The 12,562-nt window shown below is 52.5% G+C and overlaps 1 protein-coding gene across 58 annotated transcripts in view, besides 1 other annotated feature; it reads right to left on the reverse strand.

The window, feature by feature from the left end:
* RBFOX3 (RNA binding fox-1 homolog 3) overlaps positions 1-12,562 on the reverse strand; it is a 576,227-nt gene that overhangs the window by 266,669 nt on the left and 296,996 nt on the right. The gene's annotated exons all lie outside the window — the stretch shown is intronic.
* Positions 10,271-10,771: an enhancer, noted in NCBI's record as "H3K4me1 hESC enhancer chr17:77362366-77362866 (GRCh37/hg19 assembly coordinates)". NCBI's record gives its function as "activates a minimal SCP1, AML or CMV promoter by ChIP-STARR-seq in primed H9 embryonic stem cells {active_cell/tissue: H9 hESC(primed)}" and the evidence as "EXISTENCE:reporter gene assay evidence [ECO:0000049][PMID:30033119]".

A 12,562-nucleotide genomic window follows, 5' to 3' on the forward strand; every position in this document is an offset into this window, starting at 1 on the left:
AATATCACTGCGTCTGTATAAACTCTTTCCCCTCTCCTGAATTAGAGCATGAATGTGGGGATGTGCTTTGGGGCGTTCACCCCAACTGAAGTCTAAGCTCAAGTGTTCTTGGCTCTTGACTTTTGGCAAGAACTTGAGCTGACGTCGGTCCTGCCTGCTGCCTGAATGTTCCTGCTTGTGAAACTTGGAGAGGCATGTTCTCCCAGGAGCAGGACATACTTGCAGACCCTCCTGCAGACGGGGTGGGGGAGAGAGGAGGCACTTGATCCCACCTGGGCAATGCCAAGGTACCTCTGCCGTGAGGCACGTACTTTTTCACTTTTAAAACAGGGAAGTTTTTTTTTTTTTTTTTTTTTTTTTTTTTTTTTTTTTTGAGGAGGAGTCTCACTCTGTCACCCAGGCTAGAGTGCTGTGGCACAATCTTGGCTTACTGCAAGCTCCACCTCCCAGGTTCAAGCGATTCTCCTGCCTCAGCCTCCCAGGTAGCTGGGATTACAGGTGCCTGACACCATGTCCAGCTAATTTTTGTATTTTTATTAGAGGCAGGGTTTCACCATGTTGGCCAGGCTGGTCTTGAACTCCTGACCTCAGGTGACCCACCCACCTTGGCCTCCCAAAGTGCTAGGATTACAGGCATGAGCCACTGTGCCCAGCCAGTTTTGATTTTTTTTTTTATGCCATCAGAGAAGGACATAATTTAGTGATAGGTGTGAATAACTATTTGGGAAATAATTTCTTTCCTAAAATATGTCCAGAGAGAGACCAAAGGTAAGAATTTGTTGGGAAGAATCATGAAAAGTCAGTTTTCACCTTGCAGTTACAAAGGTGTCAAAAGTGCAGCCGGGCCTGCCTGGGCCAGCCACTGCCCCTGCTGCAACTCCGTCCCCCTCAGCCAGCTCCTGTCGGGCTGAGCCTCCCAGTGGCACTGAGATGGGACACTTGGCTACCCACCTCTTGCTTGAGAAGCTATGTCCTAAAGTGTCCCCCTGAGCACTCACAACAGAGACTCGGCAGTGACAACTGGGGAGCCGGTGCCCTCCATGTGGCATTCCTGCTCTGTCCTAGCCCCACGGGGGCCCCAGACACGCCCACACCCGCTGGTGACAAACTCGGCCTCCCCGGGTGCTGTGGCTGCTGCTCTTGCACACACATCCTAAAACGCAAACACAAGCAGGCTGTACGCACATGTAGAGTGTCTGTGCTTGCACATGAGCACACTCGCCTTTAAGCAGAAAGAGCGCCACTTGTAAGCTGCCCAAAAACGAAACAAAACAAACACTAGCCAGGAGCAAAAGTAAAGCTTCATTCCAATGTTTAAAAAACTCTGAAAGAGGCTGGGAGCTGTGGTTCACGCCTGTAATCCCAGTACTTTGGGAGGCCAAGGCAGGTGAATCACCTGAGGTCAGGAGCTTGAGACTTGCCTGGTCAACATGGTGAAACCCTGTCTCTATTAAAAATATAAAAAAAATTAGCTGGGTGTGGTGGCGCACGCCTGTAGTCCCAGCTACTTGGGAGGCTGAGGCAGGAGGATCACTTGAACCCAGGAGGTGGAGGTTGCAGTGAGCCGAGATTGCACCACTGCACTCCAGCCTGGGCGACAGAGCAAAACTCTGTCTCAAAACAAACAAACAAACAAAAAACAAACTCTGAAAGACGACTTCACTCCTCATGCTAAATGAAAAGGCAAGAGTTTAAAGCGCAGGGGGGCGGTATAGGGGGGTGGTGAAGAATGAAGTGCGTTTGTTGAATTTGTAAAAAGACAGAGAAATATTTTGTTACCTCAAGGGTGTTTTTTTTTTATTTACTGCTTTCCAAGTCAATACAAATGTTTACCAATTAAGTTCATTTTTTTAAAAAATCAGTAAATTGAAGTTTTTTTTTTACTTTAGTATTTAAGTAACTTCCACTTACCAGATCCCAAACAAGCTATTATTATTATTATTATATATTATTATTATTGACAGCATCTTGCTCTGTCACTGGAGTACAGTGGCACATTCATAGCTCATCATAACCCTGGGCTCCTGGGCTCAAGCAACCCTCCTGTCTCAGCCTCCCAAGTGGCTGGGACCACAGGCACACACCACCAGCCTAGCTAATTTTTATATTTTTTGTAGAGACAGGGTCCACCTATGTTGCCCAAGCTGGTCTCAAACACCTGGATTCAAGAGATCCTCCTGCCTTGGCCTCCCAAAGTGCTGGGATTACAGGTGTGACCAGTGTGCCTGGCCCCAAAGAAGCTATTTTTCATCCCTCTGGGACCTAACAACAGGCACAAGGGGGAAGGTAGTGAGCTAGAGCCGTCTTCCCCTCCCCAGCACTGGCGAGGATGCTCACGCCGTGGGGAGACCCCACCATCGGCACACTGCCCTCCCTTCTGACTCAGGCAAAATCCCACCTCCTCCATGAAACCCCTCAAGTCTACACTTCCTCTCATTTTTCTTTTCTTTCTTTTTCTCTTTTTTGAAATGGAGTTCTGCCCTGTCACTCAGGCTGGAGTGCAGTGGCATGATCTCGGCTTGCTGCAACCTCTACCTCCCGGGTTCAAGCAATTCCATTGCCTCAGTCAACCTAGTAGCTGGGATTACAGGTGTGCACCATCACGCCTGGCTAATTTTTGTATTTTTAGTAGAGAAGGGGTTTCACCATGTTGGCCAGGCTGGTCTCGAACTCCTGACCTCAGGTGATCTGCCTGTCTTGGCCTCCCAAAGTGCTGGGATTACAGGTGTGAGCCTCCGTGCTCGGCCTGGTTCTCTCTCTTTTCTGAGTTATAGTCACAGGCAGTGTTTCCAACACAGGGTGTGGCCATTCCATTTCGCCATCAGGATCCCTGGGTTTCTCATGTGTATCAGCTCTACCTTCCTGCCAATTGCTCGAGAGCCACTTGGGAACCAGAACAAAGTATCCTTCCCTCTTTTCCCAAGTGCCCCCAGAGGGCTCGCGCAGAGCAGACACCACGAGTGGCACAGGGAAGCTGCCCCCTGCCCCACACCCAGCCCAGGGAGGCACAGAGCACTGGAAACTTCCATGGGTGGGTTTGCACCAGGCCAGGTGTATCCATCAACACATCCTGTAATCCTCTCTACAACTGTATTTTATGAGTGAGGAAGTAAGATTCAAATGGGTTAGACGGATTTAAACGTATCCCTAATCCACCTCTTAATGACCCCACAGGCTCAGGGCAAGAGCTGAGGGGCTTGGCTGACTGCAGCGCCTACCCCGCCCCTCCCCAGGGCTGCCAGTGTTAGCAAAGAAAAATACAGGATATGCAGCTTAATTTGAGTTTCAGATAAACAACAAATAATTTGTAGTACTAGTCTATCTCAAATATGGCATGGAACATATTTACACTAAACACTATTCATTGTTAATCTGAAATTCAGATTTAACTGAGCAGCCTTTATTTTATCTAGCAAGCTACTCTCCACATCCTCCCCCACAAATTCCAAAGAGCATATTTTGCTGAAGGTGAGGCATAGCCTTCGAAGGAAGGGCACGGCACCTGCCTCCCCGCTGGCTCCTAATCTCTGCACCCAGACAGGCCAATCACATTTGAACAATTTAGCAGACACTCCTTGGAAGAGAAGAGAAAATCACCCACCTCTCCACCCCGACTAAGGCAGGACCATAGGATGGGGCTCCAGGGAGGGCTGGCTCTGCAGGGGCCTCTTGGTGGCTCTGCCAGGTTTGACTATCTCCTGCACTTCGTAATTTGGGTCATTTTTTTTTTTTGAGATAGGGTCTCACTCTGTTGCTCAGGGTGGAGTGCAGTGGTGATCAAAGCTCACTACAGCCTCAAACTCTTGGGCTCAAGTGATCCTCCCACCTCAGCCTCCTGAGCAGCAAGGACTACAGGTGCACGCCACCATGCCTGGTTAATTTTTGTATTATTTGTAGACAGGGGGTCTGGCTCTGTTGCCCAGGCTGATCTCGAACTCCAGGGCTCAAGCAATACTCCTGCCTTGGCCTCTCAAAGTGCTGGAATTACAGGCGTGAGCTCCCATGCCCGGCCTAGGTCATTGATGTTTCTTTATTTTTTTTTTCATGTTGGTATTCAGTGTCCTTATGACTGGGTGTTTGCCTTTTCTCTTTCCGACCTCCATGCACCTTAACTTCATGAAACATAGCAAGCATGCTGTGCTCATGAAACAAAAATACTTCATGGTACTGGAGGTTTTTAGGGGTGTGGCCAGCTAGCCCAGCTTCCCACCCTTACAACGATATCGATATCTGAAGCAACCAACAAAAGCAAAGCGAGGGTGCAGCAGTGAGCTTGGAAACAGAGAGCCTGGCCCATCAGCCTGGGCCTGCAGGGAACCAAGGAACCTGCAGGGAACCCTGCACCCAGCTGGGCACGCTCATCAGACTGCAATCCCGCCAACAGGTGCCACTGGAAGCTGCTCACCAGCCCCGCCAAGCGCCGCACCCTGGGGCCCCCACCCGTCAGCTTCTGCAAAGGTGCCCGCGCTCAGCAGGGACGTGAACAGTTTTCTTGACACTCCATCCTCATTGAAGTGAAATCCACGCAGCCAGCATCGGAGACGATGAAATGGGACAAGCTCTCACCGCTGCCCGTGGAGGGATACCTGGCTGGGACTCAAAACCCCTATTACAAAAATCAGACCATTAAAAAAAACTAGCCAGGAAGAAGCCAGGAGATTTCCCTCCGCCATCTGTTAATTTATAGGGTTATCGGTGTCAGCAATTTAGGAGAAGTTAAATTATATCACAGCCCCACTCACAACTCTGCCATGGAAACTCAGAAATGTAATCACAAATTTTAATTGAGAAAAATTGCTCTGGATCAAATTCCTTTTTTTTTTTTTTTTAAGAAACAGATTAAATTATGTTGGGGGAAGGGGAGTGGCAATATGAGTTTGAAATTAGTTGTGATAAAATTGAGGTGTGATTGTAAACCAATTTGTGTTTTGTGTATTGTGAGTAATTGTTGGGAGAGAGAAGCCTGTCCGGGTTATTTCTGCTGAATGCCGCACCGTGCCTGGGAAGAACATCAGCTTTTGGAAACAGAAGTTCACGTCTCAGGCAAAGGAAGGGAAAGGAATAAATGGCCGAACCCCTCCTAAGTCAAGAAAGACACACATTTGGCTCCAAAGGTTTGAAAGAGGGTGACAGACAGCTGTCACCCTCCCTCTGCTAACATCAGGCTGTTCCCCAGACCCACCCATCTGCAGACAATTTCTCCTGGACCAATCCCATCCTCGGCTTGCCACTGCCCGACCTGGCCTCTTCCCTCTCCCCAGGCTGCTGGTTGGCGCCTTGATCCATTTGCCATCGGGGCTATCTGAGACGCTCATCGAGGTGCTTACCCGCTAACAGCTCTGTGCAGGTGGCATGAGCTTGCATCCCCCACTGCCTTCCTTGTGGAAAGATTAAACATCTCTCAGATGCTGGGAGGACCCTCACGGTGGCCCTTGGTTACTGGAGTCACCAGGACCTGCAGCACCTTGCCAACACCCTGGCCACCACCTCCTGCCCCTGAGCCCGCGTGGCTCTCTGTGCCACAGCTGGAGAGGGCCCAGCTGATCAGCAGCTCTGCCAGGCACTGTCCAGGGCTTCCCTAAGGGACATGCCAGCCCACGTCCATCTCTCCTCCTCCTCCCAGCATCCCCTCTCTTTCACTCTGCCCTCAAACAGCATTTCACTCCATCATTCATTTCTTGGTCTTTGGGCCAAGGTCATGTGTGTGTGCACACGTGTGTGCGCTGTGCAGGGGTACCCAGTGTAACTGCCTGCACTTATTTATTTAGAGAAGCAGAGGAAGTGGAGGTGTTGCCAGTTCTTGCCATTTCATCTTGATTTAGTCATTTTTATATGGCTCACAAGGCATAGGCAGATTTCTCTGTTTCTTTATTTGTTCATTAAAACTTCAATAAAAATGTTATAAAAATGTCTTATTTTGGTAGTTAATTGCCATTTCCATTTTAATATGCAAGCGGTGTTGGCTCTTCTCCGAGATTCTTCGAGTCTCTCTGTAAATAATACAGCTGCCTTGGACGAATGTTCCCTGCCTGCTGCGTATTTACTCAGTCATCAAAGCGCAAATGTGGTGGGTAACAGATCACTCCCTTCGAGAGAATCCACTCCACTGCCAGCTCACACACAGCCCTCCACGGGCCACGGCCAAGCGCTGAGCCAACAGAGTTTGCCTCCTGCCTCACACCGGGGTCTTTCAGCCTGAGGTGAGCGCCCCAGAGAGCTTCCCAGGTTCTCAGATATTTTCCTGCCTTTGGGAAAATGCATCTGTCTCCCTGCGTTTCTCTGAAGCCAGAATCCCGGCCCTTCAGGGCTTGGCTGAGATCCCCGGCCAGCGTCTGCGTAGGACGGTGGGAGAGGCTGAGTGCAGCGTCTTTCAGAGCCAAACAGAGCCCCAGCTCTGAGGCATGGGGAGAGGATCACCCAGGGGACCAGGGGGTGGGGGTGGCGGTGGGCGTGGAAGGCCACCTGCGCTGGGCCTGGATGGCACTAGGCTGAGGGGAGCAGGGGGAGCAGTGTCAGCAGGGGCCTGGCTGTGGCTTGGGATGGAGATGGGAGCCTTTATGTCCCGCGTGTGAGGGGCCCAGAGGCCTCTTTGCAAAGCTTGAATACCTGGCGCCCCAGGAAAATGAGAGCCGGCCTGCCGGGCAATTGCTTCCTGTGACGGAGCCAGTTACTGGCACCTCATCTCCACTGGCTCTGAGCTGCACAGGCTCATTAGAGACCATGGGATGGGGCCTCCGAGGAGCTCTGGGACTGCTCAAGGCCACCAGAGCTGGAATTTGTTGCCACAGCTATGAGAGAGGGGTAAAGCGGGAACATCAGACAACCCTGAACGCCCGGCTCTGTGTGCAGACCTCATTCTCGGACACTTCGAGGCCACACAGGTGTGAGAGGTCCCACTCCCCAATCTATATCCCCAAATGCTGGTGATGTCCTGTCCTGAGTCCAGGACCCCTCTAGGGTTGGAGCGGGGTAAGCCCCAGAATATCTCACAAGCCAGAGTACCTTCTCCAAGTGCAGAAAACGGAGAATTACGGGAAAGTAAAAATTCAGAGGCATGACGCTTGCACATGCGAGGTTTCTGGGCCATAGTGAGCCGCAGGGGAGGCACGTGGCTCCTGCAGGGGAGATGGAGGGGAGGCACATGACTCCTGTGTCTGAGGTGGCTCCTGCACTCCTGAGCGTGGCCAGGGGTTCTGTAGTGCCAGCAAGGCTGATGCACAGAGAGGGGACATGGCTCACGGGTGACAGTTAGGGTCAATGTGCAGAAGAACCAGGGGACTCTTTAAAGGGCAAATGCGCTGTGAATGGAGACTCTCTTGGCAACGCCAGGGAGAGGAACAGGATTCCTGGGATACCCAGGAAGTCTGTGGGCTGTTCCCTCTGGAAATAGGGGGCTAAGGTGTTCCCAGGCCTGGTCACCTCCACCCCAGACTTCCAAACTCTTCTGTCTGGCTGCCTCCTCGGCTTTTTCAAGAAGCCTCAGAAGTATCTCAGAAGTATCTCAGATCTTCTGAGGATGCCCAACACAAGGCTCAATTCCCCTTCCTGTTCCTGCCCAGCTTCCCTGGGGGGTCTCCGCGAGCAACATACCTCTTACCCAGGGGCCCAATCGAAGATCTAGGGCCTTCGATTCCCTCCTTTCCTTGATGCCAGTATCCAGGCCACCAGCAGGTGTTTCAGGGACCTCCGACACGCCTCCAGAGCCCCCAACACCTCCAGAGCCCTCCAGCCTCCATGCTCAGCCCGTCCGCCCCCCAGCAGCCTGGGTCTGACTGAGGAAGGTCAATCAGCTCGCACCCCTGCCCCACTCAGAACTCTCTGGGGCTGTCCACTGCACTGGGATAAAGCAGACGACGGGCTCCTGCAGCCCCTAACTCTCCCCACCTCGTCCCCCTCACCCACTCCACTCCAGCCACCCTGGCCTCCAGCTCCTCCACAAATCACAGCCTGTGCTCCACCACGCCCTCCTTTTCCACCAGGCTTTATGGGGCTGTGCCTTCTCAAGCCTCAGCTCAGATGCCAGGTCCTCAGAGAATCCAGCCCTACAGGAAACAGCCACCAGCCACCCACCCCATGGATTTTCGGGACAGCACGCACCACTCTGGGACCATTCACTCAGTCATTTAAACAGCCCCATGCCCAGAAGGCAGGCTCCGTGGGAACTGGTGTTCAGCCTTCCTCTCTGCTCCACCTGCCTGCCCAGAGTAGGTCTGGCACAAAGTGAGCAGAGATGGTAGCCATCAGTTGACAGGATCACCAAATCCCAAATCTCCATTTCCTGTTGTTCCTGGCATGCTGTTTTAGGACAGTCCTGAACTGGACTTGCAGTCTATAGAAGACACACGCTTGGGTGTTCCTTGAATGACGGGGCTGATGGAGATAAAGCTGCCATTCAGATGCAGGTGGACTCTGAACTCTGCGAGGAAAGAGATGCTCTCTGCAGCTGGGGACAGTGCTGCTCTCCCAGGCCAAGCACGTCTCCCAGGCATCTGATGGGTCAGTGCGCAGTTAATGAGTGTGTTGACTGCACAGACACTGCGTGCAGCTCTGGGGATGAAAAGATGCGTAAGACAAAGGGGCCAGGGGTTGAAGGATGAGGGTGTGCTGGTGGGTGACGGGGAGCGGGCGTGAGCAGGTCGGATAGCCTGCTGTTTGCTTTCTGGTGGGGAAGCACGCTCTCCACTGATGGGGGACACCATATGGGGCTGGGGACCTAGAGGAACACATTATAGCCCATCCAGCACAGCCTCCAGGGAGAGGACCCCGCAAAGCCCCAGGATGACTACCCAGCCCACGCATGTGGCCTTACCTACAGCCTGGGTTGCTCCCTCAGCTGGAGAGGCTACCTTGTGTGGCCAGAACCACTCAGTCAATGTGAGGCTGACTCCTGGTGCCCAGGGAGTGGCTGGGCAGGAGCCACCCAGCTGCAGTGCTTGGGCAGCAGTCAGCCCAAGGCTCAGAAAGGCAGCATCCAAGCAAAGGGCAGGATGCTCCCTGGGCCAGTCTTGGACACATTAACTAGAGTTGGTGGGGGAGGCTTGTCTCTTGGTATTTATTGGGCCCCCAATAAAGCCTCTCTACCCTCAACACTTTAGTTTCTGCTCTGGATGTGCGCACACACACACACACACACTCTCTCATGCACATGCACACGGTATTTCTGGGGAAAATCTTAACTCCTTGCTCTTTTCAACTCCTTTAAAAAAATCACTTTGGCTTGTTCCAGTTTCATCCTCCTATGAACAAAATATCCACTCCAGCAGAAGTGGGAGGGATGACTGTAACTGTGGGGAAAAAATAGCATCCCCTTTGATGTTAAGTAATACAACAAACTCCTAAATGAAAATCCACTAAGAGAAAATGAAATAGAAAGCTGCCTGGGCATCAAAAATTGCAAAATGAAACTGTTAAAGAATAAAACTCATTAAATGCCTGTGATAACACTTTATTTTAATAGTACATTTAATTCATACTTAATTCCAATGTGCTCTAGCGCGGCCCTGGCGCTCCCACGCGAACACCAGATAAATGGATTACGGCAAGCCAGGAGACAATGAGTGCCCACTGAAGCCGGCGCGGCGGCAGGTGAAAAATGCTTTAACGGAATATGTTTCCCATACATGAATCACCAGCATATTTGATAACACCTTCCACAGAAATAAACCTGAAGGAATATATCTTCCCCACACTGACAATGTAGATTAAATAGTTTTACCCCATATTCTATGGGGACGCTGCTATCTGATTTAGAGCTCACAGAATTCACAAGGTAAAGAGGGCAGGGGCAGGCACCTGGCAGGGTCAAGGGGCTATAGTGTCTGCTGCCCGAGAGGGAAGGGGGCTTGCCAAGAGCACAGCGGCCACACCTCTGGGTGCCCGGTAACCATGGAGATGGCAGCCCTTCTTGGATACCACACTCTTGCACCAAAGACGCCATCAGCGTCATGACCACGCCACGGATGTCCTGCCACTGCACATTTCTGATCTGAAACCAGGAGGGCAGCACACAGGGATGCTTCTGCCCACAGGGGACACACCATGCTGCAGCCTGGAGCCCCTGTGCTGAAAGTCACCTTAGGGAAAGCAAGTAGAGCAAGCTTCAAAACCAGCAAGACAGAGGCATCAATCAACCCGGTCACTAGGAAAGCTAGCTGCATAGCTGACGAGAAGCAACCCACGATCAGCCTGTGGTCCAAGTCATGCCCAGGCACCGCACTAGTCTTTCTGGTAGACGATCAGGCATCTCGGGCACCATCACTGGTAAAGGGGCTGCTTTCTGTATAAAGAACAGCAGAGCCCAGCCAGTGACTCCCTGACCTGTTCATGCCTGCAGACCGTGGCTGTCTCTATACTAAGCCGTTTCTTTTTCTTTAAAGTGTTTATTTAATTCTAAAGGAATGGGTGGGATCTGGCAGCTAACGCCTGCTCTAAAAGCGAGCTGTGATTTTATGGTATATTATGCCGGCGCCACGTCTCAATCTATCAAAGTCAGTGTCCCCAGAGCCTGAGAAATCAAAACATCATGAATAGAGCACCACTTCCCAGCTCCTGCTGTCTGCCGGCGAGAGAGCCAGCCCAACGAGCAGTGCCTTATTGACCCTTCCATCGTGCACAGTCGATCCCAGCCGCCTCGCCGCCAGCCCAGCATCTGCTCAACTAGAGGAGGATGAATGCAGGGCCCCAGCCCAGCAGAGGCAATGTTTGAGGAGCTGGAAGGCTTCTGCCTGTGGACACTGGCAGGACTGGGGCACAGCCCAGCAGGACGACCCTTGTCCTTCCTAGCAGATGTTGTGCTGGCCCACCTGGAGCCCCTTCCGGGGAGCTGCTCTCACCCCAGCTGCTGGGACCCTGGGCAGCTGAAGGCTCTCAGCTGAGTCCCTCCCAGAGTACTGTCCTCAGAGAGAGCCACCTCGCCCAAGGGCCCTGGGGAGGGTCCACATCCATGACAGGTGGGCAAAGGGGTACAAAGGCCATGCCATTTTGCCTCAAGGTGGGGCAGCTCCAGAGCTACGCAGAGGTCTGCTGCACCGTGTTGTGACTGCCTCACAGCCTCACACCTCCCTTGCCCAATTCTGCTGCCCTCGCTCCCACATGAGTGCTGACCCCAGGCCTGCATGTCACCTTCGCAGAGTCGGCTTCCGGAGGACCCCAGCCTCAGACACCCTCCTTTCCTTCTTCTCTTCCTTCTCCTCGAAGTCCTCCTCCTCTCCCTCCTCCCCTCCCCTTCTCCCTCCTCCCCTCCTCCTTTTCTTCTTTCATCTCCTCCTCCTCCCCCTCCTCCTCCCTCTCCTCTTCCCCCTTCCCCTCCTCTTCTTCATTTCCTCTTCCTCCCCCTCCTCCTCCTACTCCTCCTCCACATCCTCCCCTCCAGTCCTCCTCCACCTCAAGTCCCCCGACCTTCTCCCACTGCTTGATCCTTCTTCAAAACGCAAATCACATTGGCCAGATTCATGCATGTATCACCCAGCAGTTAGCGATGAGCACTCATGAGCTCTGGGCTACAGGTGTCAGGAGAGACCGAGACAAGAGAAGACACACAGTAAGAAGAGTCCGCTTTCCCTGGTTTTAAGGTTTAGATTGCAAAAGTCAGATTTACTCCCAGCCAGTAACTTGAAAATATTTCCCCAGCCACCTACTACGGGATGCAGCAGAGGAGAAAATGGCACTACCATCCACCCCTCCGGGGAGGACAGGCAAAGGGAGCCACGGCCAGTGGGTGTCATGGTGGGCCGGACAGGCAGCTCTTTTGGGGGGTCTCTGTGGCAGCCAAGGTATGTGACAGAGGAGGAATCAGAGCCCGCCTGGCCCCCCAGGAAGGCTGCTCACCTGAAGGCAGACACTGTGGACAATCCACCGACAATCGTTCACTATGAATGGGTTTCTCCTGCCTCCGAATGTCTGGGACATCCCGGCATGACTCTGTGTGCATTCAGGGCTGGGGAATTAACTTCAGCCAAAGACAAACAACAACCGAGGGTCAGGGACACCTGAAATTCTTACAGGAGATTCTCAGCACATGGCAAGGTTAGTCCCAATGGGATTTGCTTTCATTTCCTGCTAATGAGATTAAGAGGCGTGGGGACAGAAGTTCCTGTCCACACCATCCTTTATTACGCATTGGCCCTGTCTTTCCTTCCACGGGATCCCACGGGATGGGTTCTCTTACAGAACAACTTTTCCCCTCTCCACAGCCGTGCCCACGTCATTCTGCAGAAGGGCTGAGCCTTATCTAAAGCAAAGGGAGCTGCAAAGATGAGGGGTCCAGTAGGAGCAGCAGCTGAGGAGAGACCTCCCCCTCCACCAGCCTGGGGCTGTAGCCAGGCCACACCATCCAGGTGGGGGACCAGGAAGCCAGGATCCTGCGTGCTGTCCTGCATCTGGGTTTCCCAATGTGGCTTCACAATGCTATTTGAACTGTGTTCATTTCCAAACCTAGGACGCCCGCATTTGCAGATGGACAAAAATGCCACACTTGGGAGTCAGTCGTGGGTTCCACCGGTTCCCCGCACCTGCTGCCTTGGTCTCAGTTCCTCTGCAGGACAATTGAGAAGCCCGTGGGTGG

The sequence above is a fragment of the Homo sapiens genome, chromosome 17 (assembly GCF_000001405.40).
Source record: "Homo sapiens chromosome 17, GRCh38.p14 Primary Assembly".
NCBI classification, from domain to species: domain Eukaryota; kingdom Metazoa; phylum Chordata; class Mammalia; order Primates; family Hominidae; genus Homo; species Homo sapiens.